Below are 27,475 nucleotides of genomic sequence, written 5' to 3'. Positions count from 1 at the left end.
TTATTAACCATTTGCTCAGTAGAAGTTTAATGGAGAAATCGTTGTTTAAAACAATCAGTCAAAAAGAACAGCTCTTTTACAAACAAGTTATGGCAGTGGCAAGTCAAAACCCCAGGTTCAATTTCCTATTCCTTTCACCTGCCCCTAGAAGGGGCAAGAGGCGGGTGAGCAGGAGAGATGGGGCTATTGAAATGGTAGCTAGAGGAATTACAAAAATACACTCTGATGTAGCAACAGGGTTGTGGTGAAACATGCCAGGGGGCTGGGGAGGAACAATCAGACGGGAAGGTTCTGGAGGCAAACGAAGCCTGCGGGATCTGCAGGCGCTCAGTGCCTTGGGGAAGAAGGAATCCTGATTCCCAGGCGGCAGGTCTGGGGCTGAGCACATGCTGTTTGGGGGATCACCTGGACGCCTGGGGAGACAGAAATGGTTAAAAAATGGCAAACCTGATGGTTTTTCTGACCCTTTTCTATTCCCCCTAGAGACGGAAGCAGTGAAAGGGAGGCAAAGAAAAGCTATCAACCCAAGTAAATCGTTCCTAACGTAGCCAGAGGGGTCCTCAGCATCTCCGCACATCTGCTCCCCCAGCCCCGGGTCTACTGGCTGGACTAATAGACTAAACGGGAGGTCTGTAGGCTGTGACTCGATAGGCACAGTGGCAAGCCCCTTCCCGGGGAACAGTTCTTGCTGGTATTCGGAGCCCATGCGAAATAGTGCCCTTGTTTTACAGTTCTTTTCTTTGCAAGTGCTCTTTGAGCCTGATGGCACTGATAACCTGACCACGAATGAATGTGCTCAGTTTCCATTGCCTAGAAGGGTCAAAGTCTAAGGGTAGCAGAAAAGAGGAAGGTAGTATAGGGTCAGGGGAAAGGAAGGCAGAACCCTAAGACCAGCTGTGACAAGTTCTGTCTAGAGGTGGGCCTGCACCCCAACACCTTTCCTTCCTAGGACATCATTACACTTTCTGAATAGTGTTCTTTTTTTTTTTTTTTTTTTTTTGAGATGGGGTTTCTTTCTTGTTGCCCAGGCTGGAGTGCAATGTGCACAATCTCGGCTCACTGCAACCTCCGCCTCCTGGGTTCAAGCGATTCTCCTGCCTCAGCCTCCCAAGTAGCTGGGACTACAGGCACCCACCACAACGCCCGGCTAAGTGGCTAATTTTTGTATTTTTAGTAGAGACGGGTTTTCACCATGTTGGCCAGGCTGGTCTCAAACTTCTGACCTCAGGTGATCCACCAGCCTCGGCATCCCAAAGCACTGGGATTATAGGCATGAGCTACCGCGCCCGGCCCTGAATAGGGTTCTTTATCCCATTCCAGTGTAAGGTGGCCCCACTTCTTCCCAGCCTTCTCCATGTCTATTAGTATTAGGTATCTTAGAAGTCAAGGACAGCATTGGTAACAAGAGTCCCCCAAGATGGAGACATCTCCATCATGTGTAGGGCAGGTTGGGGTGTGTGTATGTGGATGAAAACAAGGTTGAAGCCGGCTGTTATAGACTTATAAATATCCATATTGGAACTCACCAACTGTGCATGTTGGGGGAAAAGAAGCAGAGAGATGGTTGCAGAAGGAGAAAGGAGAGTCATCAATAATACCCAAATGAGCTGGTTAATGTTTCCAGTTTCCATCCAGAACTTGACATTTGAGCAGAGCCACAGACAGAAGCTCCTTACTGGCTTTGTTTCAGTGCCTCTCAGTTGGAAGCATAATAGAAGATTAGAAAAACCAATTGCCTGGATAGAGGCTCAAATCATTTTTTAAAAAATAAATGGATTCCTGTTAATGGGCCTGATTTTCAACTGTGTTTAGGTAAAGAACATTGCCATCGTTCAGAATTAGACATGAGCTTCAGTGTCCCTGAAGAGCCACTTTAAAGAAGAATGTCTTTAAGATTTGAAAGAATTCAACCCATGCTACTTCTGAACGATTTACTGTTAGGTGCTGTGCAGATATGTGTTAGAAAGAAATAGGAGGCTTGTGAAGGATCCAAGAGTGAGTATGACTTCAAAAGCAGTGCAGGTTAATTTGGGGCCTTTGGAGATGAGTCATCCTGCTAAAATAAACACATCAGCTTTCTCTTCACAACTTAATACACGTGTCCATATTTGGTAACAGGCCCGTGGTGAACATGTTGGCCTACCTGCAAAGGGGCCGTCTCCATGCTAAAGTGTGGGCACCAAACATTAGCATATGTACTAATAGATCATCAAGGAAGGTTATTAGTGACACGGCTACCTCTGACACATGGGACGCAACTTAAAATAGCACATGCAGACATTTTTCTCTTATGCTCGGACTCAGGGAAAAGCCCCACTTGGGTAATGTTTTGGGGTGATTTTGATGATCTGACTGGTTCTTTGTGTTAGGACAATGATACAGTTTAGAAGTTTGTCCTCTTCCAATTTCATGTTGAGATGTGATCCCTAATGTTGGAGGTGGGCCTAGTGGGTGGTGTTTGGGTCATGGGGGTGGATCCTTCAGGAATGCCTTTGTGCCCACCCTATGGTAATGAGTTCGTGGGAGATCTGGTTGTTAAAGAGGCTGGGACCTCCCCTTTTCCCCCTCTTGCCCCCTCTTGCCATGTGGCACGCCAGCTCCCCTTGCCTTCTGCCATGAGTAAAAGCTCCCCGAGGGCCTCACCAGAAGCAGATGCGGGTGCCATGCTTCTTGTATAGACTGCAGAACGTGAGCCAAATAAACTTTGTTTATGAAGTACCCAGCCTCAGGTATTCCTTCGTAGCAATGCAAAATGGATGAATATGGCAAGTTTCTTAGCTATTTAAGGAGACGTATGGGACTCTGCAGATGATCATATTCCCATATACAAATTAAGGCACATAGCCTTGATGGTTGGGAGTTTCCTAAATTTTCAGAAAATTCTACTGTGCTAGGTTGCCAATGCCACTCAAAGTGATGTATTGGTTGATATCCTAAGGAAAGTTGGGTTTTGAATGAACAGGCAATCAGTTAGGGTATTTGATGTATATTATGAGACATGTGGACTTGTATAAGGTGCCTGTGGGTATAGGAACAGAGCAGAAGAAAGAGAGAACAAGGAAGAAAGAGAGGAATAAAAGCAAGCAAACAAAACCAAAACAAAAATGGCACGCTGGAAAGAAGCCAAATGGAGGAAAGAAGATGAACCCCTTTAGTCCATATTCTAGTAGCTACTAGGTCCATTGGACCAAATTCTCCACGTCTTGCTCAGTAATGATACCGTTGACCACAAGGAATCAGTCCCTCTCTGGCAAGGTGGCAGGATGGACAAATGGCTTGTGGAAGGAGGAAGAGCAGAAACCACAACTCCTAATCTTAACAGGAACTCTTTGTCCAGGTAAAATGGGAAACTTTAATGTTTCCATGGAGCCAGGCACCCTGAGAGCTGGGGAAAGGAGAGGGGATAGGTAAGCCGTCTTTGAAGATGAAATAGCACCATCATAGCTGTGGTAATTGGACTCTGCTAATGGCTAAGAGTAGGTCCCACTCTTGGTGTTTAGAGAGACAATCTCGAGGAAAGGTGAGCTGACTGGTTGCTGTGGCAACTGGATGGGCGTATTGGTCCACTTAACTGTCCCCATAGTAACTAAGCTCCTGGGGAGTGATAGAGGAATTAGTTATCTTAACATACTACTATTATCCCCATGGTAACCAGTCTCTAGCCGGAAGTGGTCAGCTTCAAGGTGCAATCATAGGAAAATCTGCTGCCTAGAGAAAGGGTGGGCTGGACTCCTTGCGGGGTGTGTGTGTGTGGAGTGGGGAGGGGGCGGGGAGATGAATGTGCTTCTAGGCCTGGGAGCAAGGCTAAGACAGTTGGTGTGTGAGGTCTCTCCTTGCCCCCAGCTTATTGGTGCCCAACTCACTCATGGGTTGCAGTGGCCGGTACAGCTGGGAGGAGCGCCCCTTCCGGCTACACATTACCATTCTGGTGCAGGGTGCGCCGGCGCTGGCTGGACTGCATGCTCAGGACCAAGTATTGCCTCATAAACTCACTGAACCGCTTCTGATTGGCCAACTTCCTGGCCGACTTCCGGGCCCCGGTGAAGCCCCCAAATCTCTTCTGCAGCTGCTTCTGCTCCATCTCACCAGCCTCCTCCATGCCAGGCTCGGGCTCTTCCTGCTCCTGGAACAAGCTCCGGACTCGGGGCATTCGCCGCAGATGCTGCATCTCCGAAGCTCTCGGCTGGTAGAGAGCAGCCGCCACATGCTCTGGGGCGGCAGGGCTGAGCTGCCAAGAGCTCCTGGCCATGACCTTGGTGCATGGAGTCCAGAGGGGGCTGGGGAAGACCTTCTCTTCACACTCGAGGATGCACACCTGCAAAGATACGGGTGAGAGGAGGGGAGAAGGAACAAGGACCTCTGTTAATCCAGGGCGAGGGAGGAGATCTGGCCCACTGCACCAGTGCAAGTGCTTCTGAAGCATCTAAGTTATCAAGTAACGTGGAGCAGTTTTACACAGGTTTTAGGTTCGTAGAATTTCAGAATTGGAAACAAACAGAGAATCATCTGACCCAGCTCCATCATTTTACAAAGAAACCAGGGCTCAGAGAGGTGAGCGTAACTTACCTCTGGTGTCACAGCACGTTAACATAGGAAGTTAACACAGGATAAATGCGCCCAACACCGCACCTTGTTACATCTTTAGTCGGGTTTTTGGAGCCAAGCACAGCTCATGACTGTCACCCATAAAGAATTTTATTTTGTTCTCTCTTCAGGCTTGTGGGAGGTCACATGGGTTAAAGAAATTGGGGATGTGAAAGTATGTAGTCAAATCTGCAGGTTTATTTTAAGGTCACCATGTAAAGATCTACCTAGGTGTTGTTAATTTTTCATCCCGCGTACAGCAGTCGTCACTATCTGTGTATCATTTATAGCAAATGGGGTCAAGACCCTGTGGGGTGGTAGGCCGGCTGGACGTGCGGGGCTGAACCTGTGATCCAGTTCCAGGTGTGGGGAGAGATGCCATCATCAGACCAGAGCCCAGCAGACCCGCTCGGCTCCTAGGAACACTCTGCTCTGCCTCTCCTGCCAACCCTGACTTCTAGCCACCAGCTGGACCACGATGTTTCTCCAGCCCCTCTTGGCTGGTTCTGACCTTGGCCCCCCACCTCCCACGTTCTTGGTTCTGATTGGGTCTCCTGGAAGCCTCTGCCCCCAGCTTTTCTTCCTATTTGCTGTTTTGGCTTCACCCCTAATTTCAGTCCAGGTTTCTGGCCTTAGCCGGCTGGAAACCCCACTTCAACCTGACCTTACTGCTGTGAGTCAGTAGGCAGAGCTCCTCATCATAGCGTGGAGCTCCTGCCTGGCTTCCAGGTCACCTTCTGGGGCAGAGGCTGCAACTGGCCCGTATTCATCTCCCCTTCTCCTTATGCACAGAACACTGTTTTATTCCTAAAGGCAACGTATATGTTTCCCAAGCTTCCTTGGAGCCATAAGTAGCTGACGACATAAAAATGGAAGTGTAGGCCGGGTGCGGTGGCGCACGCCTGTAATCCCAGCACTTTGGGAGGCCGAGGCGGGTGGATCACGAGGTCAGGAGATCGAGACCATCCTGGCTAACATGGTGAAACCCCATCTCTACTAAAAATACAAAAAAAAAAAAAAATTAGCTGGGCGTGGTGGCGGGCGCCTGTAGTCCCAGCTACTCAGGAGGCTGAAGCAGGAGAATGGCGTGAACCCGGGAGGCGGAGCTTGCAGTGAACCGAGATCGTGCCACTGCACTTGACGCTGGGCGACAGAACGAGACTCCGTCTCAAAAAAAAAAAAAAAAAAAGGAAACGTAATCCCAGAACTTTGGGAGGCCAAAGCAGGCGGATCACTTGAGGCCAGGAGTTTGAGACCAGCCTGGCCAACATGGCAAAAACCCATCTCTGCTAAAAATACAAAAATTAGACGGGTGTGGTGATGGCTGCCTGTAATCCCAGCTACTGGGGAGGCTGAAGCAAAAGAGTTGCTTGAACCTGGGAGGCGGAGGTTGCGGTGAGCTATCATGTCACTGCACTCCAGCCTGGGTGACAGAGTGAGACTTTGCCTAAAAAGAAAAAAAAGGTGATCGGGCATCAGATGGGGTTTCCAAGAAAGTAGGAGACTGACTTAAGTGGGAAGAACATTCCGTTTTCCTCTTCCTCCAACTTTCTGTTTGGAATGTGGACATTTGGGCTGACATTGTGTTTGCCATCTAGAAACCATGCAGCGACTCAAAGGATGGGAGTCATGGGCTAGAAGCTGCCGACTGGCAGAGAAGAGAGAGGAGACTGGAGCTGCCACTGCAGCCCTGGGCTGTTCCCTTCTCACTCCTTGTGAGGAACTGAATCTATTGATTTCAGCCGCTGTCACTTTAGATGTTTGTTACTAGCAGGTGAATTTCATTCTTATCTGATATATTTGTCCTTCTGCTTGGCCTCTCGGTCCCTGTCTCTGAGTGGCACCTCACTCCCCAGTTGACTCAGATTTCAAACCCTGGGCATATCTTTTCCTCCTCTCTCACTGCCCCCATCCTGCCAGTCTACAGTTCTGCCCCTCCTCCCACTCCCTCTACCACCGCCTAAGTGCCTCTTAGGTGAAGTGGGTCCCTAACTGATCTCCGCATCTCTGGTCTTTGCCACTGTCATCAGTGTGGTACCCCTGGCAGGATACTCTTCCTGAAGAGTAACTAATCATGTCATTACCTTGCTCACAGCTGTCTAATTGTTTATCATATCCATAAAACAGCTCCAAACTCTTGAGCAAAGCATTCAAATCCCTCTACCACCTGGTCCAGCCCACCATCTAGGTCTTATTTCCGATTCTTCATCACACACCCCTTGAGGCCTATGAGGCTGTTCCTAGTGCCTTAAACACCGCAAAGCTCCTCGCACCTGCATGCCTTTCTCTCTGTCCCTTGGATGCAATGACCTCCTTGCATCCTTCCATCCATCCTTTGGGACCCAGACAAGCTCCAGTGCTGCCCCTCTCTGATAACTTCTAGTTCCCTGGCAAGAATCACTCTCTCCTGCCTCTGTCTTCCCACAGAACTTTGTATTCCTCTTGTGGAAATTTTAATGCTTTATGTCATTAAATTGCAATACCTTCTAAGGCGGAATATGACAAGTTAGGGACCACATCTTACTCATGTGTGAATCCCTTGCAGGAATCTTCTCCTTCCAGTAAAGAGTAGGGTTCCAGTAGAGGTTAGTTGAACTGAGATGAATTAATCAAGAAGTCACTCTATATTTAGCTAAGAGTATAAAAGAAGGGAATGAAAAGAGGTGAGAAAGAGTCCCTGGAAGAACAGGGGTCGCAGCTAGTTGCAACCAGGACTGGGACGCCCCTAGTGCTTAGCATGCGCACTGTTGCAGGCAGCTCCTGTCACCCTGCTGCCACCCTTTGCTTATCTGATTACTCATCTGTCCCATTAGTCCAGGATTCCAGGATTCTTTTATTCTTTTTTTTTTTTCCTTTGGAGACAGAGCCCACACCTGGTCTAAAGGGTCCCACACCTGGATGTGAGTCCCAATCACCTGCAGAGCTTTTAAAAACAGAATTTCGGCTAGGCGCAGTGGCTCATGCCTATAATCCCAGCACTTTGGGAGGCTGAGGCGGGCGGATCATCTGAGGTTGGGAGTTTGAGACCAGCCAGACCAACATGGAGAAACCCTGTCTCTACTTAAAATACAAAAAATAAGCTGGGCGTGGTGGTGCATGCCTGTAATCCCAGCTACTCAGGAGGCTGAGGCAGGAGAATCGCTTCAACCTGGGAGGCGGAGGTTGTGGTGAACCGAGACTGTACCACTGCACTCCAGCCTGGGCAACAAGAGTGAAACTCCTACTCAGAAAAAAACAAAACAGAATTTCAAGACTCAACTAAATCTCTGAAGAATAGAAGCAGGGATTAAAACTTATTTTTACAAAGGAATTAAAAACTTAATTTTACAAAGTTCAGGTAATTCCGATATTTGCCTGGGTTTGCAAATCATGAATATAATTCAACCTTTGCATTTTATGATGTGGTTGAGTAATGTGTCCAAAACAACACGGTTAGATAACAGTATAACCTGAACAAGAACTCAAAGATGCCTTGTGGCCCAGTCCAAGACATCTACTCAGCTACCTCTGTGTGCTTGCAATATGAATTGGTGGCAATTAATGCAAGAAGAAGGATTCTATGAGACCAAGAGCTGAGGTTTGGATGGGAGTATTGCCTATGTTCCACTGGACTGGAAGGGACAGGCAGGGACTAGGTCTGACAGGAGTGTCCCTTTCCTTCCCTGGCAGGGTTTCCAAGAAGCAACCTGTCCAAGTCCACCTATTAGTCACAGGAGGTGACACTGGCCCCTAGTGATGCTCACGCCGTGGTTTTTCTGAGCATGGCTTTTTCATTTAGCTTTTGCTCAGAGATGCTTAACACATGGAACCTAGTTGCTGACAGAATGACCTCAGCAGGGAGAGGAAGGGAACTACTTTTTCACACCTGCAATGTTACTGATTATAAAAAATGATAGGTAACTTCCATAGATAGGGAGGGCTGCCTTAAGAACAATGAAGTTGCAAACTTCTGGAGTATTCTATAAAAATTGCTACTGTGCTGGGCATGGTGGCTCCCGCCTATAATCCCAGTACTTTAGGAGGCCAAGGAGGGAGGCGCCTTTGAGCCCAGGAGTTTGAGAGCAGCCTGGGCAACATAGGGAGACCTCAGCTCTACAAAAATAAAAATGTTAGTGGGGTGTGGTGGTGCATGCCTACAGTTCTAGCTACTTGGGAGGCTGAGGTGAGAGGATTGCTTGGGCCTGGGAAGTCAAGGCTGCAGTGAGCTGAGATTGCTGTACTGCACTCCAGCCTTGGTGACAGAACGGGACTGTCTCAAAGAAAAAAAAATGCTACTGGAGTTTGTTAGAATGCAAATTTTTAGCCTAAAGCATTGGAGATTCTGATCCACTAAGTCAAGGGTGGGGCCCAGAAATTTGTATTTTTAGCAATAGCTCAGGTGATTCTGAGACTGGATGATACCTGGAGAAATCCTGTTTTGGAACTTGCTCTGAGGAGGAAGAAGCCATCACAGAACACGGTGGTTAAAGACTCCTACAGAGAAAGAGTCACCTGGGTCTGTACTTAGCCTGCTCCTGAAATACTTGGAAGAAAACCAGCTAGAATCAATGTGTAGTATATTCTTTCAGATCAGAATCCTGTCGAGTTAGTACTCTACAGGCGTGGATCTCAACTGGGAGTGATTTTGCCCACTAAGGGGCCATTTGGCAATCTCTGGAGACATTGTTGGTTGTCAGAACTGGTGTGTGTGTGTGTGTGTGTGTGTGTGTGTGTGTGTGTGTTACTGGCACCTAGAGGCCAGGGATGCCAGTAAACATCCTAAAGTGCCCAGGACAACCCCCACAACAAATAATTCCCCAGTCAAAAGTGCCCATAGTGGCAAGTTTGAGAAACTCTGCTCTACAAAGTCAACAGGGATGCAGAGAAGTGTGGCTAGCACTGGGAAAGTCATAGAAGGGTAGAGTGGGGGAGCTGGATCTGACTTTTGAGCATGCTTGGCCCAATCCTTGCAGAACAGGAGCCCCAAACTGCTTGTTGAATTTTTCTGCTCCGTCAGTTTATGGAAACAAGTGGAAGAGTTGTTAAACTTGGAGGTGCTTAGATCTTCTGTGAGCCCCTGGGTTTCCAAGCCCAGATAGTAATTAGATTTTGTGTCAGTCAGAGAAAATGAAATTGTGTGATCAAACCAGATGCCACAGTCCATACCCAGACTTGATGCACTGTTAGATAAATTAGATGCTAACAAAATCATCTCAACTCTTGACTTAGGAGAGGGTTTTGGGCAAATAGGAGGAAGCTAAATTCACAACGCATTTGTAGCACCAGATGGGCATAGGAGCTTAATGCCTGACCCTCTGGTGCGGGGAACTCACCAGCCTTTTTCCAGAGATGGGTTAATGGCTTATTAAGTGAGCTGGACACGTTTTGGCAGCCCACGCTGATGGCATTGCTATATTAAGCCAGAATGCGTATGGGCATCTGGAGTCTCAGATGGCTGCCAAATTCATCTGTAAAGCTGGGCTTATGGGGAAAGTGAACAAATGGCCTTTTGGGTGTCTGGGCTCAAAGATTAGGGTACAAAGTGGGAAACAGGCATATGAACCCATTGGGGATGAAAGGAGCAGCTCACAAAGGTGGTCAAGTTTCTGCCACTAAAGAGTCACACCACTTCTGACCAAGAGACATTTGGGAGCTATTTGCTTTGTGAGGTCCTGCTAGAATATCTGAGGACAAATACAGCAGATGAGCATAGAAGACAAACATATAAGGAACTCCTACTGCAAGTCACCTCATTAGAATTTTCATCTCATGAAGATAGAAAGAACTACCAGAAGGTAGCTCGTTTTGCAGTAGAATTTTAGGGAATTTTATTGATTGATTGAGACAGAGTCTTACTTTGTCCCCCAGGCTGGAGTGCAGTAGCATGATCTCAGCTCACTGAAATCTCTGCCTTTTGGGTTTAAGTGATTCTTCTGCCTCAGCCTCCTGAGTAGCTGGGATTACAGGCATGCATCACCATGCCCAGCTAATTTTTGTATTTTTAGTAGAGACAGGGTTTCGCCTTGTTGGCCAGGCTGGTCTAGAACTGCTGGCCTCAAGTGATCCACCTGCCTCAGCCTCCCAAAATGCTGGGATTACAGGTGTGAGCCACTGCACCAGGCCAAATTTTAGGGAGTTTGAAATAAATTTCCCCACACTCTTTCTTGGGATTGGTTGCCTTATTTTTGTCTCTAAAACAACTCAGTGAATCCAGTTTTTTCTCCTTGAGCTGATGAAGTAAGTACCATTCACAATTAGGTTAAAGGCCAGGACGTTGCAATGGATTTGGGTGTGAGTCATTTACCAATAAAAATTATAGTCTAACAACAAGCAGCCATACTCAAATAGTCTACTAGGAGCAGAAATAAAAAGTTTCTTGATGAAGCCAAGGATCCAGAGGATCCTGGGAATAGCTCAGGATTATGTAATTTGGTGGAAGGACTGGGGAAGTGACCCTTGCTGAAATATGAGTCCCCTGATCATTCACAGAATGGACATAGTCAAAGGCTGCCAGATTTGGAAATGGATTTGAGTGCCTACATTCTAGGCATTTCATTAAACTTAAACATAGGTTAAAAGTGAATACAAACTAGAAACAAAAACAAGCAGGCAGCCACATCCTCCGGGGGGTTAGCGAGCACTGTGAAGGTGTTAGTCCCCCATTGTGAGGCTTTTACAGGTCCATTTTCTGACTTGTTTCAAAGAAGTAGAGCTGATAATGTTGTCTAGACCCCAGATATTTAAGATGCTATGGAGAGATGCAGACATGCTCCAAATTTTTGAGTCTCTGAAAGATGGAAATGTAAAACCTTTACAGAGACTGCAGCAGATGTGCCTATTAGGAGACTAATGGTCTTAGAATCTTCCAATTTCCACGGGATGGGATGTGTTTATTGAGCTATGCTCTGTGCCACACACTGTGCTGAGTGCTGGGATACCCAGATCCATCAGTAAAGAAAGCTCACTCCATATGGGGAGAGAGAGTCCTGCAGATACAACTAACAATCAGAACATGAGGAAGGAGGGCCCACTCCACTGGGGTGGGTGGAGAATCAGTGCAATGTTCTCTTACCAGAGGACACTTAATCTGGGATTTGAAGTGCGACTGGGATTTATGGATGGGGGAGGAGGCTGTGGCAGGCACAATGGCAGGGCAGGAAGAGAAGGCAGGATTTCTGGGAACTATGGAAAGTGATTGGGAACACGGGTCTGGAGCCCAGGTGAGAGGAGTTCAGGAGGATTCCTCTAGGAGTTTTCTGCAGCCTGGGAGGAGCAGAAGGCCTGGGATGTATGGGTGGGTTCTCAGAGGGAGGTGAAAAGCAGAGAATCTTGGCGATCCTTTATGTGTAGGGAGTGGGGAGAGGACAAGGAACCAACACAGTAGCCAGAGTGAGGAAGAGAATGAGGCACATGGACCGAGAGAGGGCTGGTGTTCCTGAAGGAGGAAATCATCAGCAAGGTAGGAGCTCAGAGAGAAACACGGTGGATGAGTAAGAGGAGACATTTACTGTAACCACTTAACCGAGGGCCAACTGTAGACTATATTCATGGAAAGTAATAATGTTAATAACATGGGAAATTGATCCTGGTATAATATAGTAAGTGAATTGGTTAACTGGAGATGCCCTGGGTAGTTATGACTGGTTGGAAAATGGGCTTGAAAACCACTGAGCCCAAGAGCTTGGTGCTTTGGGTCTGCTGGATTTTATCTCCTCCTCTGTTATCTGGAGGTGGGAGACACCAGGGTGTGTTAGTCCCCCTGCAAATACTCGGTTCTACATTTGTACATTTGCCTTAAGGAACTGTGGTGCTTCTGGTGTTTTTGAAAGGTTAAGGGGTTTAAAAGATGGCATCTTTTGAAGGAAGTTATTTGACTATAAAGTAAAAAACAATTGAGCTATACTGGATTTAATAGGAGAGGAGTAACTATCTGGACTGAAATGTAGATAGTTGACAAAGCAGTTTATTTAATGAAGAAAAAGTTAATACTGGATTTGCACCTTAAGTTGGAAATTTAAAATATAAGAGAGCATTTTGGTACTAAGGGGTTCACTGTTGAGTTATCTGCAATATCAAAAATAAAGAGCACAGGCCAGGCGTGGTGGCTCACGCCTGTAAATCCCAGCACTTTGGGAGGCTGAGGCGGGTGGATCATGAGGTCATGAGATTGAGACCATCCTAACACGGTGAAACCCCATCTCTACTAAAAATACAAAAAAAAAAAAAAAAAAGTAGCCGGGTGTGGTGGTGGGCACCTTAGTCCCAGCTACTCGGGAGGCTGAGGCAGGAGAATGGCATGAACCCAGGAGGCAGAGCTTGCAGTGAGCCGAGGTTGCGCCACTGCACTCCAGCCTGGGCGACAGAGCAAGACTCCGTCTCAAAAAAAAAAAAAAAATAAAATAAAATAAAATAAAATAAAATAAAATAAAGGGCACATACCTGTTCAGTGGTTAAACAAATTACACGGTCCTTCTGTATCCACAGGGGATTGGTTTCAGGATACTAAATCTGCAGATGCTCAAGTCCCTTATATAAAATGGCTATGCGGAGGGGCACGGTGGCTCATGCCTGTAATCCCAGCACTTTGGGAGGATGAGGTGGGTGGATCACTTGAGGTCAGGGGTTCAAGACCAGCCTGGCCAATGTGGTGAAACCCGTCTCTACTAAAAATATAAAAAATAGCGGGGCGTGGTGGTGGGCGTCTGTAATCCCAGCTACTTGGGAGGCTGAGGCAGAAGAATTGCTTGAACCTGCGAGGTGGATGTTGCAGTGAACTGAGATCGCACCACTGCATTCCAGCCTGAGTGACAGAGTGAGACTCTGTCTCAAAAAAAATGAATAAATAAAAATAAAAATGATCAATAAAATGGCTATGCACATCCTCCTGTACACTTTAAATCATCTCTGGATTACTTATAATACTTAATATAATGTAAATGCTATTTAAGTAGTTGTTATGCTGTATTGCTTTATTTGTATTATTTTTCATTGATGTATTAGTATTTTTTATTTTTTTCTGAATATTTTCTATCCATGGTTAGTTGAATCCTTGAATGTGAAACCAGTAGATACCAAGGGCCAACTGTAGACTATACTCATGGAAAGAAATAATAACATGAGAAATTTATCCTGGTATAATATAGTAAGTGAAAAAAAGTAGGATTCTTTCTCTGACTGGTGTAATTAAGGAGGATTTAAATTTCTCTTGTTTTATACTTTTCTGAATTTGCCAAACTCTCTGAAATGAGTAACATTATTTTAATCCTGGGAATGACCTGGCATCACAGGCAGGGCTCTTCCTGCAGGTGGTAAGGTGGAAAGATCGTAAGGTTCTGGGTCAGAAGAGCAGCTCCTGTCTGATCTGTTTCCTATGGGCCATGTAATGCTGAGCAAGTCCTGTGAGCTGTGGGAGAGGCCTTGGCTTCTCACTCAGAGTCTGCTCTGGAGTAGGGAGGGAGGAGGTAGTCAGGGAGGAGGACAGCCTCTCTGCCTTGCCTTGGAGACCTACCTCCAGGTCGAAGCTGTCCAGGGCTGGGTGGAGCTTCTCCTGGCATGTGAGACAGTCCCTCTGACAACTGCTGAACACACTGGAGAAGAGACTGAGCAGCAGCAGGTCACAAAGCAGGACTTTCATGGTGCAGGAGCAGGAAGCAGGTGCTGGAACATACAGGAAGCATGGCAATGAGTACAGCCATTCTCGGAGGGCTGCTCAGGGCCAGAGACCTAACCCAGAGAATGCAGGAAAGACACTTCTCTGCTGTCTCTGGCAGGATGGCACTAGGGGCCTGTGATTCACTTTGCAGGGGTGTAAATTGTCAAGGCCATAGGCGACCCTGCCTATCACCTAGGCTCAGTGTTCATGTAGAGGCTTGTTAGTGTGTCTGGGTTCCTGGGTTAGTCCTGGGTGGCAGGACACCCCTGTGATTCCTGCCACCTGGCTGGCCTCGACACCTCATAGGCACTTTTGGGAGCAGCTGTGTGGTGGCAGAGATAGCTTTCTTGGGAGCTAAAGGCATCGCTTTGCAGTTTACCAGCATGTGACATTAAATCAACCACTTTGAGCCTCAGTTTTCATAGCCCATAAAAGGGGAACAGTGGCACCTGCCTTATCACAGGCCTATTGTGAAGATGAAATGAGATCTGTAAGGGGAGTTTTGCAAAGTGCTGTGCAAAAGTAAGATGAGTAAAATATGACATTTATTAATGACTCAAATGCTTCCTTTCATCCTCCTGGCCTTCCCTGCTGCAGCCAGGAATGCCCCCAACCCCCCATACCCCGAATTCTCTCTTCCAGGTACTTGCCTCTTATCCCTGTTAGATGTGAGCTAGTGCTATGGTCTATCTCTGTCTCCCTAAAATTCCTATGTTGAAATCCTAACCTCCAACGTGATGATATTAAGAGATGGGATCTTTGGGCCAGGCACAGTGGCTCATGCCTGTAATCCCAGAACTTTGGGAGGCCAGGGCAGGTGGATCACTAGAGGTCAGGAGTTCAAGACCAGCCTGGCCAACATCATGGCAAAACCCTGTCTTTACTAAAAATACAAATATATATATATATCCGGGTGTGGTGGTACACACTTGTAATCCTAGCTACTTGGGAGGCTGAGGCGAGAGTATTGCTTGAACCTGGGAGGTGGAGGTTGCAGTGAGCCGAGATTGTGCCATTGCACACCAGCCTGGTTGACAGAGTGAGACTCTGTCTCAAAAAAAAAAAAAAAAAAAAAAAAAAGAGAGAGAGAGATGGAACCTTTGGGAGATGATGAGATCACAAGACTAGAGCCCTTATGAATGGGATTAGTGCCCTTATAAAAGAGGCCCCAGAGAGCTAGCTAGTCCCTTCCACCACTTGAGGACACAGCAAGAAGGCAAAATCTAAGAGCCAGGAATAGACCTTCACCAGACACTGAATCTGCAGGCACCTTGATCTCAAACTTCCCAGCCTCCAGGACTGTGAAAAAGTTGTTTCTGTTGTTGGCAGGGCAGAGTGGCTCATGCCTGTAATCCCAGCACTTTGGGAGGCTGAGGCAGGTGGATCACTAGAGGTCAGGAGTTCAAGACTAGCCTGGCCAACATGGTGAAACCCCATCTCTACTAAAAATACAAAAATTAGCCAGAAATTGCTTGAACCCAGGAGGCGGAGGTTGCAGTGGTCCAAGATCACGCCACTGCACTCCAGCTTGGGTGACAGAGCAAGACTCCATCTCAAAAAAAAAAAAAAGAAAAGAATTTTATGTTGTTTATAAGCCACCCAGTATACGCTCTTTTGTTACAGTAGCCTGGACAGACTAAGACAGTTGGCTTCCCGAGCAAAGGGCCATGTTATTCACCTTGGCATTCCAGGCCAAGCACAGGCCCTGGCATGTGGAACTTGCTATTTAAAACCGAACAAAGAAACTATTCCAAGATAGTAGCTCCAAGGATTGGTTGATTAGATCAGTGGTTTGCAATCTTATGTAGGATTGCCTGAAAGGTGTGCAGTTTTCACTGTTTCTCCTTGAAACTTATCTTTTGATCAAGGCTTCTAAATCTGAAAGATGCTTCCCTGTACTGTATCATTTTGGGTCCCTGTAGAACCATCTTTAGGTAGAGGATTAAATGGAAAAGGAACAAAGAACTTTCTAGAAATGTAAATGTTCTTGACTGAAGTCGCAGGGGTGTATCCATTTGCCAAAACCCATTGAGTTGTACATTTACATTCTGTGCATTTCACTGTATGCAGTTCCCTTAATAAAGAGTTCAGTGTAGAAAACCAAAAATGACTGCCTTTATTGCTTTTTCTTCAGATGATATTGAGGAACTGTAGAAGGTCTTGGTACTCCAATGCACCCTGCAGACCAGCTGGAATCTTGTTAGAAATGCAGACTCTTGGGCCTCACCCCAGAACCACTGAATCAGGATCTGCATGTCTTTTTGTTTTTGTTTTTGTTTTGAGACAGAGTCTTGCTCTGTCACCCAGGCTGCAGTTCAGTGGCACAATCTCAGCTCACTGCAACCATCACCTCCCTGGTTCAAGAGATTCTCATGCCACAGCCTCCCGAGTGGCTGGGATTACAGGCACATGCCACAACACCTGGCTAATTTTTGTATTTTTAGTGGAGACAGGGTTTCACCATGTTGGCCAAGCTGGTCTCGAACTCCTGACCTTGTGATCTGCCCGCCTCGGCCTCCCAAAGTGCTGAGATTACAGGCATATGCTACCAGGTCCCGCTAATTTTTTGTAAGGATCCACATTTTTAGCAAGATTCCCAGGTGACTTGTATCCATGCCAAAGTTTGGGAAGTGCTGGTATGAGAAGGACGTGAACAAAGGAGGGACCTGCAGCTGAGCCCACCCCAGTTCTTCTTGTGCGTCATCAAAGCATTTCATACCCAGAGGATGATGACTACTGGGGTGCTCAATAAGTGTTTGTTAAATCAATGAATTGACTTTTTGTTTGTTTGAGATGGTCTCGCTCTGTTGCCCAGGCTGGTGTGCAGTGGTGCAATCACGGCTCACTGAAGCGTTGAACTCCTGGGCGCAAGCAATCCTCCCACCTCAGCCTCCCAAGTAGCTGGGAGGATTGTTTGAGCCCAGGATGCTTGGTTAGTTTTTAAATTTTTAGCAGAAATGAGGTCTCGCCATGTTGCCTAGGCTGGTCTCGAACTCCTGGCCTCAAATGTTCCTCCCACCTTAGCCTCCCAAAGTGTTGGGATTACAGGCATAAGTCACTGCACCTGGCCAATGAACTCACATTTGAGACGGGTTTTGAAACAAATAATGAACACAGTGCCTACATAAATGACTGTATCGCAAATGCATTTGAGATTAATTTTTCTTCTCTATCCCAAGGACCAGGGCTTTAGTTGAGATTTATTGCCTTGGTTATTGTAATAGCCTCCTAATTAGTCCACCTAATGATCTGGCTTCCCCCCAAGCCATCTCCAATCTGATGATGTCACCTTATATTTAAACTAATTTTATAACCTTGTTGCTGTCAGGGGGAGCTCCAAGGACTTAGCACTGACCAACTCCTGCTTCATCTCCTGGCACCTAACCTTGCATAGCCTCTAGTCTCAGCCGATCACGTGTAGCTCCCAACTGTATCAGCCTCTTAATGTCTTTCTTTTTTTTTTTTTTCTTTTTCTTTTTTTTTTTTTTGAGACAGAGTCTCACTCTGTCGCCCAGGCTGGAGTGCAGTGGCGCGATCTCGACTCACTGCAAACTCCGCCTCTTAAGTTTAAGTGATTCTCATGCCTCAGCCTCCTGAGTAGCAAGATTACAGGTGCACACCACCACATCCAGCTAATTTTTGTGTTTTTAGTAGAGACGGGGCTTCACATGTTGGCCAGGCTGGTCTTGAACTCCTCACCTCAAGTGATCTGCCTGCCTCGGCCTCCCAAAGTGCTGGGATTACAGACATGAGCCACTGTGCCTGGCTTCTTAATGTCTTTTTATCTTGGCACTTGCTGTTCCCTCTGCCCAGAATATCCTTCTCCAACTCATCCTTCACACACACCTCTAGCATCATCCCTTCTGGGAAGCCATGTCCACCCCCTGGTCTGAGTTAGATCAGTCTCCTCTGCTGCCCTGGCATCTGGAAGAGCACATCATAGTGGGAGGCCAGCGAGCCTCGGGGGCCCCATCTATCAACACAGGCACAACAGACCCACGCTGCAGAGTGGCGGTGATATGCGCTTTCTCATCTGCTAATGACTACAGACTGCCTGCTTCCGATCACAGCTCTGAAGCTTGCTAGCTGTACTTGACCTCTCATTTCCTCATCTGCAAAAATGGGATGAAATTAGTACCTATCTCAGAGGATGATTAGTGGGTTAACGTTTGTAAGCAATTAAAATAGAACTGACAGGCAATAAGAATATATACGAAAGGAAAAGAAGGAAAGAACCTGGCATGCAGCATTCACTCTAACACTCTTTTTTGTTTTTTGAGACGATGTTTCACTCTGTTGCCCAGGCTGGAGTACAGTGGCACAACCTTGGCTCACTGCAACCCACACCTCCCAGGTTCAAGCAATTCTCTTGCCTCAGCCTCCTCAGTAGCTGGGACTCCAGGAGTGCACCACCACCCCCAGCTAATTTTTGTATTATTAGTAGAGATGGGTTTCACCATGTTGGCCAAGCTGGTCTCGAACTCCTGACCTCAGGTGATCCTCCCGCTTCGGCCTCCCCAAGTGCTGGGATTACAGACATGAGCCACCATGCCTGGCCTTACATTTCTCATTCTACTAAGTTTCCGTCTTTCTAGACATTTTTGTAGAATTTGTTCCAAACAGCGTGGCTGTGCCCTCTACAGCCACATGGTGGCAGTGGCTATACGTCGCAGAAGAAAGGGAAGGGAGGAGAAAAGGAGCCGTTTCCTTTCCTTCCTAATATGAGGTTGTAATACAGAATGTGTGCATAGGCTGAGCTGACAAACTGTGACAGATGTTAGCAAAATGCTCTCTGGCTGAGGTTTTTTGTGAACTTCATTAACTGGGGCAACTTGCATGTTCAGGAAATGTTGGCTGGTTTGACTGATGCTTGCCAAAATCTGGGTAAATGGGATTTAAGGGCGAGGTATAAAAGGAAGATGAGCTTCTGGGACACGTAGTACATGTTCCATTTGATAGTCTTCCTGCAGGTGAAATGTGAGGCCCTGCAGCTTGGCACTTAGGGAGACCTTGTTGAGTGTCCTTGGCTCTAGCCAGGACCTCCCTGTGGGTCAGAGGCACGTCTACCTTTCGGACTCCAACCTCCCGACCCTTCTCTGTCTCCCCTCACTTTTAACAATTGACTCCACTGATTATTTGAGGAGCCATCCATATTCAATGCTATCCATTCCCCCCTGCAATTCACAGAATCTGCAAAATGGAGATGACCACATAGTTCCATCCACCCTACAGGTGGCTTGCAAGCTTTAAAATGAGATTAATGTCAGTGAAAACTCAAAATTATGTAAATATCGTTATAGAGACAGCATTCTGTATTTTCTCATACACTTCCCAACACCTACTACAACTGTGTTCTAGGTTAAATCAGATTTTGAACTTTGAAAACTCAGTAGATGTTTTTCATTTGTAAGAAGTCTTGACTATATCTCCATGCTGGATGATGTTCTGTATTTAAATGGAGATGAGTACTTAGTTAATTCACGAGTTGTATTTGTGTTTAAACCTTACACTGTGGACCTGTGTGACTGCAGACAAGTCCTGAGATGGTCAGTCCTTTCAACTACAAAGTGGGGATAATAACAGGTTTGTTGTTACATTGATGCTGAAACTTTATACTTTGTAACGGTGGGACTGTGTGCAAATTATTTCACTTCTGTGAGCCTCAGTCTTCTCAACTGTGAAATGGGAATAGTGACAGGTTGTTGCTATTTTTATACAACCATAGCAAACATCAGTAAATCAAAAGTTACCTGAGTAGGCTGAATTTTCCATGGCTTGTATTTCACTTCGTGAGCCAAGCTCAGCTAATACTTCTATGTGGCAATACTATATTCTGAGCGTCTCATATTGAATAAAGAAATGTTGAATTGCCTTTTCTTTTGGTAATGACACCTCATAAATTTAATTGTGCCTTGCTGTTTATAAAGATAAAATACCACTATGGCTTGGCCTTAATCGATTTGCATGTAATCTTGCTTCCAAGGGCAATATAATTAGTTGCTTATCTGTTTGGAGAATCACATATGCAGCTTTAGCCGAAGCTGGACCCTAATTGAGTTTTGTCTTATGACCTATTCGAAGTCCTGTAATTTTGATGCTGCCAGCAGAGAAGAGGGGACTGCTCTTGCTAGAGGCAGATACACCTCCATCCTTTTCATCAACCACATGTAGAGAATATTCTTGACAGGTTACCAAAAAATTTTATATTCATATATTATACAACCCTGTAATCTAGGGTTAATATCAACCCACCTTTTAAAATGAACATAAACTCTTAGAGGTTAAGCAAGTTGACTAGGATCATCCGGTTTATAAGTAGCAGAGCCAGGACTTAAACTCAGGTGTGTTGACTTCAAACCATGTGTTCTGGGAAACCATCAACTTTACACACTGTTTCTGCTTTTGGAAGATTGCCAGATTCTGATGGCATCTCATTGCGGTGGAATCTATTTGCATTTCATAGCAATCATATTGCTATGACTTTAGAGCACTATGAGCCAGGCTTTGCGCTAATTGCTTTATAAGCATCACCCTATGGGGTAAGTGCTATCATCCCCATTTTATAGTTGAGCAGATTGAGGCTTGAGGAGCTGATGTAACTTGAAGTGGCAGAGCTGGGACTTATGTCTGACCCTGCCTGTCAGTGATCCCAGCAGCTGTCTTCATGTAGGGCTTCCTCTTGTCCTGAAGTCTGTACTCCCTGTCTGATGACAACCTTTTTTATTTACTTCTTATTTTTTATTTTTTGGAGATGGAGTCTCGCTCTGTTGCCCAGGCTGGAGTTCAGTGGCGCTATCTTGGCTTACTGCAAACTCTGCCTCCTGGGTTCAAATGATTCTCCCGCCTCAGCCTCCTGAGTAGCTGGGATTACAGGTGCCCGCCACCATGCCTGGCTAATTTTTTTTGTATTTTTAGTAGAGACGGGGTTTCACCACGTTGGTCAGTCTGGTCTCAAACTCCTGACCTCGAATGATCCTCCCGCCTCAGCCTCCCTAAGGTGCTGGGATTACAGGCATGAGCCACTGTGCCGGGGCTGATGACAACCTCTTTATGGTGGCTTCTCTCCAGTCCACACAGGGATCCTTCATTATGCACCAGCTGCATGTCCATCAGAAGATAGGTGGGTCTTCCCGATGCCCCATTTCTTAGACCCATTGCAGATAAGACTCCTACAATGGAGCTTATGCTTGTTTACCAGCTATTATGGAGAGAGGCTGCTTTAGTTTCTTTTCCTCTTCTGGCTGATACAATTACACTTCAAGTGTCTCTCCTCTCATCTAAATTTCCACCTGGAAAGAGGGGGACGGCATAGAGGAGGTGGAGGAAAGAACAATTGCCCAGCCCAGCACAGGTCAAGCATTCCCCAGGCTGGAGAGAAATGAACGCGTGAGAGCTGTGCTCAGAAACAAGAGTCCTGGCTTCTAGTCTGGCTCTGTCGTTACCTGTGGGATTTTAAGCAAGACCTTTTCTCTCTGGGCCTCAGCTTTTCCCTCTATAAGAAGAGGCAGTTAGATGAGATGGTTGATATTCTCTGATTTTATGAATGGCCAGATATTTGTCCTTTCCTGGAAGTAAGGATGGAAGGAAGAAGGGAAGAGGAAAAGGAGATGAAGGCTTTATGGGGAAGTAGCTTCCGGGCAGCATGAGGAAAGCCATAGAAAGAGTGTGGAGGGGGCAAAAGACACACGTTCAGGGCTACTGCAGGTGGGAAGGTAGCTCTCAACTCCCATCTTCCTGGTTCTGGGCCACACTCCCACATATACTGGCAACATAATTTAAATAGATTTTGGAAAGCTTTTATTTACTTTTAGCTGGGTGTATTGGCATGCAACTGCAATCCCAGCAACTTAGGACGCTTGAGCCCAGGAGTTTGAGACCAGCTTGGGGAACATAGTAAGACACCTATCTCTACAAAAAAAAAAAAAAAAAAAAATTTAGCTAGGTGTGGTGGTGCACATCTGCAGTCTTAGCTATTCAGAAGGTTGAGGCAGGAGGATAGCTTGGGCCCAGGAGGTTGAGTCTGCAGTGAGCTATGATTGTGCCACTGCACTCCAGTGTGGGTGACAGAGTGAGACCCTGTCTGTAAACAACAACAACAACAACAAAAGACCTGCCTGGGCAATATAGCAAGACCTCCAACTCAAAAAGAAAGAAAGAAAAGCTTTTATTTACTTTTATGTAATAAAATCATTCGGTGTTCTTTTCTAAAATATTGGAAAACACAGAGAAACAGCAATGAATCTAGGACAACAATCTTCAAACTTCTTCTTCTTTTTTTTTTTTTTTTTTGAGATGGAGTCTCGCTCTGTCACCCAGGCAGGAGTGCAGTGGTGTGATCTCGGCTCACCGCAACCTCCACCTCCCGAGTTCACGCCATTCTCCTGCCTCAGCCTCCCGAGTAGCTGGGACTACAGGCGCCCACCGCCACGCCCAGAGAATTTTTTTGTATTTTTAGTAGAGACGGGGTTTCACCGTGTTAGCCGGGATGGTCTTGATCTCCTGACCTTGTGATCTGCCCACCTCGGCCTCCCAAAGTGCTGGGATTACAGGCATGAGCCACTGCGCCCGGCCAAACTTCTTTAACTTTGTACCCCTAGCAGTCGATTTTGAGTACACATTCCTAATTTATTTATAAGTTACATACATTATAAAATCCACTAAAATGCAAATTAAGAAAGGTAAGATAAAAACAAAAGTCTCAGTCTCCTGAAGCCCATTGTGAGTTTGGAGGAAGCCAGCGCTCTGGCCACCCTGTGCTCCTGGCACTTGCTCTGTGTGGCTCCTATCAGGAACCCCACACACGTTCCTTGGCCGAATGAATGAAAGGATGAATGGGGAAGGAGGGTGGGGGGAAGATTGCAGGCCAGTGTGGAAAGAGGGGAGGTTGGATCTGAGCCACTGTGGGATGGCAGAGCTGGGGTGCATGGTGAGGCATGCTATCTACTCCACCTGCCAGGCTGGGCCCCCGGGCTGATGATTTTGTGCTTCTGCAATGTTGAAGCAGCTGCCAGTATTTTGAAAAAAAAAAAAAAAAAAAAAAAAAAAAAGAAAGAAAGAAAGAAAGAAACAAACAAAAAAAACCCCACAGGATCGTGGAAAATTGAGACTGAAACTAATTGTAGCCTATCCAGGGAGATGCCCAGAAAACTGGCTTGCCCCTGAAATCGATGTGCTCCAAATCTCATGACTAGTTTGTGATTAGATGGAAAACTTTATGTTCGACTGTGGGATTTAAATAAAGGCGTTTAGAAAATCCAGTTTGCTTCATGACTGCCCAGCAATTCAAGCCACTGCCAGCCACTCATTGTCAGGACGGCTCCCGTTTTCTGAGAAGGGCCCGTCCCTTTCCTAAGATATCTGAGGAGTAGCTCCACCCAGACTCGGAATGCAAGATATTTCAAAGCTTCCTTCGTGGGCTTTGGGAGCTGTGGAGCTGGATGGAGAAATGAGGGATCACTGAACCGTGTCAGTGCAAGTAGAGAACGCTCACCTGAAACTTCCCATTCCTACCAGTGTGCATATGTGCATGTGTGTATTAGCATGAAATAAGCACGTAGACAAGCTTAGCTCACTGCCTGGCACAGAGTGGGTTTCAAGAAATGTTAATTCCTTTGCCCTCATTTTATGTGTTTGACCTGGCTGCTGCCTCCCTCTTCAAAGCCCTTCACCCATCCAAATTCCACCTGCCTTCTCACTTGGTAGGATCCCAGGAATGCCTGGAGGAAATGCTCCTTCTCCCGAATTCTTCTAGCACTTGCTCTCTGGATTATGTGATTTAGGACTGAATTACACCCTGCCTTGCATGGTCCTCTAATTGTTTCTCATGTTTGTGTTACGTCTCTCCTCTACCCCCGACCCCACTATGAGTTCATAAGCACCCCTGACCGTAACGGGGAGATGAACTGGAGCCACAATGCCTTGGCTCAGTCCTGACCCTGCCATGTACTGAATAAATCATTTAATCTCTCAGTTTCAGTTTCTCCAACTGCAACACCGAGATAATGGCACCACCTCACAGGGCTGTTGCTGGGATAATAGGTGTGAAAGCGCCTAAATCGTTGTACAAATGTAAAGTGCTGTTATTATCACCTCTGCTGAATCTACTAGAGCCCCTGCAAGCCTCCCTGCCTGGTGGAGTGTAGACGGTAACTACCTGATTGATTGAATACAGGATAGCTTAGTGACAGCTCTTGTCATAGGCTCCAGGGAGCACAGGTTTGAGCCTAATCCTGCAATCACTCCCTTCACTGACAATGCAAACTCGCCTGCATTTTACAAATCCGTAAGTACTCTCAGCCTTCAGCTGATAAAGCAGGGGCTGCTGCCCTGTGCGCAACAAAACTGCGCCCTCAAAATGACCCGAGGCTGTACCACAGCGCCCTCGCCAGGCAGCACCAGGCGGCACATGCTTTTACAGAGGTGGTGATGGTTGGGGATGGGTTTTCCAGGGACCCTCCTCTGCAGAAGACTCAGCAAGCCCAAAGGAGCACGAATCCTTTTTGTTAAAGGTAACATAGCCTCAGTGTAAGCTTGTAGAATATTTCCCTGCCACACTTTACAAATGAGAAAAAAAGAGGCTGCATGCAGTAGCCACCCACAAGCAGCGAAAAAGAGCAGTATTTGCTTTGGGAGGTTTTGATAAGAAGCCAGGCAGTTACTTTTCCCATCTATGTTGAAAACTCTGGTTTGGGCTTGCTGGCGAATGCCGTGCAAAGCTCATCTTTTGTTAGTCTGCCGAACAATGTTATTGGTTATAATTGGGGCAATTATGGGCTGCTTGAGGAAGCTAAACACAGATGTTTAAGCGCAGGATGGGGGTATTCAAGTCCAAAGCAGCTTGCTTTAAATAGTCCATTTCCCGAATCATCCTGCCTTACTTGAAATTCCCCCAGAACTTGCCCATGTTCAGAGCGAGATTCGGGGAGGAGGGGCTGGGTAGTGAAGCCGGGGAAGCAAGACTCGAGGGAGAGAGATGCACAAAGAGAGGAGGAAGAAAGAAGGTGGCTGAGAGAGCCTCGAGAGTTGGGATGCGGTGACTATGAACGGAGTATTCTGCATGACCTGGGCAAAGACCTTTAGGTGGGGGAGATGGGCAGGGGGAGAGGGATGCCAAGCAAGAGAAGAGCCCTCTAAATGAATCGGGTTCTGGGAGACCAAGGTCACGCCCGTAGAAATGCTCTCTGGAATTCACACGCCGTGGCGCTCAGCAGTGTGTGTATACAGGTGAAGCACACTCCCCAGATCTGGCGCTTCCCCATTATTTGTAGCAATTTCTGCTGGGGGCAGAAGGGAGAAGGGCTCCCTCCGGATTAAAAACTCCCATCTGGATGGCATCAAGTTCAGTGATAGGCGGAGAAGCAGCCTGCGCACCGCATCTGAGAGGAAAGGAAGCCACTGAGAGGAAACCCTCATGAGGGGGCCAGGGTCTTCCTGGGGGCCGCCCCGTGGAAGGCAAACCCCCTCCCAAGTGCCTGCCCCTCCTCTGGCCTCACTCCTCCAGCAGCCTCCTCTCGACACAGAGCAACAACCACGTAGGGGCCACAGCTGGGGAAGCAAAACTTTTCCTCATTTCCAAGTTCCCCTCTTTCTGCTTCTGCGTCTGTCTGAGGTTAAAAAAGAGACTCAGCCCTCCCCCGTTCCCCACCATCCAAGCGCTACAAAGGAGATGAATGAAGAAACCATCTCGCAAGAGGCCAGCAGCATCCACACTGGACAAAGGAGAGAGGCCGAGGAGCCAGCCCCTGGTGGCCCTGCCCTCCCGGAGCTCCACGCAGTTAGTCCAGTTAGTCGCGGTCGGGCTGGGGGCCCCGTGCAGTTGCCTACCTGAGAGCTGTCAGTCCCCGGCTCCCTCCGATGGATGCGAGGCTCGGTTCCGCTTTCTCAGCCACACCAGCATATATATCCTCTCCCCCACGCACAGCCCTCCCCTTCCCTGCCCACCTCCATGACACATACACACACTGACCCCCTTCAGCAACCAAACAGCAGAACCTGCAAGCCTTCCTGGCTGTTCCCTTCCCCCGGCTCTGCCATCAGACCTGTGACATCCCCACCTCCCCATCAATCCATTCTCAAGCCTGCTTCACCTGGACTCTGTTCAGCCAGGATCCCACAGCTGCCTTCCCTGTGCTTCCAGAGGCTCTGTGAGGACTGATGGGGAGCTCTGGCAAGTCAGAAAAAAAGCCTCCTGGTGACAGTGACGAGGCAGACCCCAAATCCTGGAGTCTCCTTGAGCAACCTTTTTGCCTGAGGAGTGAAGAATAGGAGGCAGGCAGAAGGGAGGGGAGCTCATGCCAAGCTCCTACCGACTCGGAGGAGCCCAGGGCTGAGCTAAGCCAAGCCCTGACCTAATGTCATTGCCCCTAACTAGGCCACTCAAGAGGTGGCTGCACCTGCCCTGGGCCAGGTCAGGAGGCATTTCCACAGGTGCCCACAGCATGGTGCAATGGAGAATGCTGAGACTCGAGGCTCAGATGGAAGTGTCTGAAATTCGGCTGTACAGTCAGAGCAAGGCACATCTCTTTGTGAACCTCAAGTCCTCCTTCCGGAAAATGAGTCTAATACTGCCCAGGATGGTTGTGAGTAGAAAAAGGAGATTCTGTTTGAATCTACAACACACGAGGCCCTTAATGAATGTGCTGCATCCTCCCTCTCCTCTCAGCCCGCTTTTCACACTGATTAGTACCACCTGGATGTAGAAATCCCATATCAGTGTCTGGTGTCACAACAGAGAGCTTTTAAAGCTTCTGCAACTTAGGGCATCACTACCGAGGGCCCTGGAGGCTCAGAAGCTCTGGAAGCTTCCCTGTCCCTTACTGCAGAGCCTCTTTGTCTTCTACAGCCGCCGGGGGTTGTGGGCTGCAGGAAAGGAGCTCACAGGCTGAAGGCACAGGCTTGAGGGTTTAGCATCCTTGTGGACCCCACGTTTCCTTACCTTAGGTGAATTTCACCATGACCCTGTCCTTGGTTTTCCTAAGAGGGTCTAAAATATTCCAGAATCCCAGGGTTTGAACCTATGTCATCCAAGGAGCTCAAGCACTCATTCATGTGGTTAAGTCCAGCTCTCTGGTCTACCCAGGACTGGGTGGAGAAGGATTGAGGGAAGCATCTGCCCTGACTGCAAATGGTATAGGGTTTCTTTTTGGGGTAATGGAAATGTTCTGGATTTAGACTGAGGTGATGGTTGCACAACATAGCAAGAATACTAAAACCCACCAAATTGTATGCTTTAAAATGGTGCATTTTATGTTATGGGAATTA

At 47.1% G+C, this 27,475-nt stretch overlaps 1 protein-coding gene across 4 annotated transcripts, besides 9 other annotated features; it reads right to left on the bottom strand.

The window, feature by feature from the left end:
* On the bottom strand, positions 4-26,367 carry PNOC (prepronociceptin). Of its 4 annotated transcripts, none has more exons than XM_011544559.3 (4): positions 26,302-26,367; positions 14,072-14,220; positions 3,922-4,315; positions 4-413 (listed from the first exon to the last, which is right to left on the bottom strand). In XM_011544559.3, the coding sequence occupies exons 2-4, from the start codon at positions 14,195-14,197 to the stop codon at positions 328-330; spliced, it is 606 nt and encodes a 201-aa protein (XP_011542861.1). In that variant the 5' UTR covers positions 14,198-14,220; positions 26,302-26,367; the 3' UTR covers positions 4-327. The 4 variants fall into 4 exon arrangements, with proteins under 4 accessions (XP_011542861.1, NP_006219.1, XP_005273589.1 ...); NM_006228.5 differs by lacking the exon at positions 26,302-26,367 and adding an exon at positions 26,039-26,087 and having other exon boundaries at positions 3,864-4,315; XM_005273532.3 differs by lacking the exon at positions 26,302-26,367 and adding an exon at positions 26,039-26,087.
* Positions 2,028-2,107: an enhancer, noted in NCBI's record as "active region_27166". NCBI's record gives its function as "activates an Ori minimal core promoter by ATAC-STARR-seq in GM12878 lymphoblastoid cells {active_cell/tissue: GM12878}" and the evidence as "EXISTENCE:reporter gene assay evidence [ECO:0000049][PMID:35858748]".
* Positions 3,795-3,844: a silencer, noted in NCBI's record as "silent region_19053". NCBI's record gives its function as "represses an Ori minimal core promoter by ATAC-STARR-seq in GM12878 lymphoblastoid cells {active_cell/tissue: GM12878}" and the evidence as "EXISTENCE:reporter gene assay evidence [ECO:0000049][PMID:35858748]".
* Positions 4,055-4,124: an enhancer, noted in NCBI's record as "active region_27165". NCBI's record gives its function as "activates an Ori minimal core promoter by ATAC-STARR-seq in GM12878 lymphoblastoid cells {active_cell/tissue: GM12878}" and the evidence as "EXISTENCE:reporter gene assay evidence [ECO:0000049][PMID:35858748]".
* Positions 4,805-4,954: an enhancer, noted in NCBI's record as "active region_27164". NCBI's record gives its function as "activates an Ori minimal core promoter by ATAC-STARR-seq in GM12878 lymphoblastoid cells {active_cell/tissue: GM12878}" and the evidence as "EXISTENCE:reporter gene assay evidence [ECO:0000049][PMID:35858748]".
* Positions 5,045-5,204: an enhancer, noted in NCBI's record as "active region_27163". NCBI's record gives its function as "activates an Ori minimal core promoter by ATAC-STARR-seq in GM12878 lymphoblastoid cells {active_cell/tissue: GM12878}" and the evidence as "EXISTENCE:reporter gene assay evidence [ECO:0000049][PMID:35858748]".
* Positions 5,225-5,274: an enhancer, noted in NCBI's record as "active region_27162". NCBI's record gives its function as "activates an Ori minimal core promoter by ATAC-STARR-seq in GM12878 lymphoblastoid cells {active_cell/tissue: GM12878}" and the evidence as "EXISTENCE:reporter gene assay evidence [ECO:0000049][PMID:35858748]".
* Positions 6,353-6,462: a silencer, noted in NCBI's record as "silent region_19052". NCBI's record gives its function as "represses an Ori minimal core promoter by ATAC-STARR-seq in GM12878 lymphoblastoid cells {active_cell/tissue: GM12878}" and the evidence as "EXISTENCE:reporter gene assay evidence [ECO:0000049][PMID:35858748]".
* Positions 24,070-24,581: an enhancer, noted in NCBI's record as "H3K4me1 hESC enhancer chr8:28176291-28176802 (GRCh37/hg19 assembly coordinates)". NCBI's record gives its function as "activates a minimal SCP1, AML or CMV promoter by ChIP-STARR-seq in naive H9 embryonic stem cells {active_cell/tissue: H9 hESC(naive)}" and the evidence as "EXISTENCE:reporter gene assay evidence [ECO:0000049][PMID:30033119]".
* Positions 24,582-25,094: an enhancer, noted in NCBI's record as "H3K4me1 hESC enhancer chr8:28175778-28176290 (GRCh37/hg19 assembly coordinates)". NCBI's record gives its function as "activates a minimal SCP1, AML or CMV promoter by ChIP-STARR-seq in naive H9 embryonic stem cells {active_cell/tissue: H9 hESC(naive)}" and the evidence as "EXISTENCE:reporter gene assay evidence [ECO:0000049][PMID:30033119]".
* Positions 26,368-27,475: the final 1,108 nt, after the last annotated feature.

The sequence above is a fragment of the Homo sapiens genome, chromosome 8 (assembly GCF_000001405.40).
Source record: "Homo sapiens chromosome 8, GRCh38.p14 Primary Assembly".
Lineage (NCBI taxonomy): Eukaryota > Metazoa > Chordata > Mammalia > Primates > Hominidae > Homo > Homo sapiens.
The sequence above is the reverse complement of the archived record's forward strand: the minus strand, read 5'-3'. Positions and strand labels throughout refer to the sequence as shown.

What these genes read in the sequence shown, in the direction of transcription:
- PNOC (XM_011544559.3), bottom strand. Translation starts at nt 14,197, where the DNA reads ATGAAAGTCCTGCTTTGTGACCTGCTGCTGCTCAGTCTCTTCTCCAGT. An exon ending in TGGACAGCTTCGACCTGGAG is followed by an intron (nt 4,316 to 14,071) that starts GTAGGTCTCCAA and finishes GTATCTTTGCAG; the next exon opens with GTGTGCATCCTCGAGTGTGA. An exon ending in GCGCACCCTGCACCAGAATG is followed by an intron (nt 414 to 3,921) that starts GTAATGTGTAGC and finishes CTGTCTCCCCAG; the next exon opens with GCGTCCAGGTGATCCCCCAA.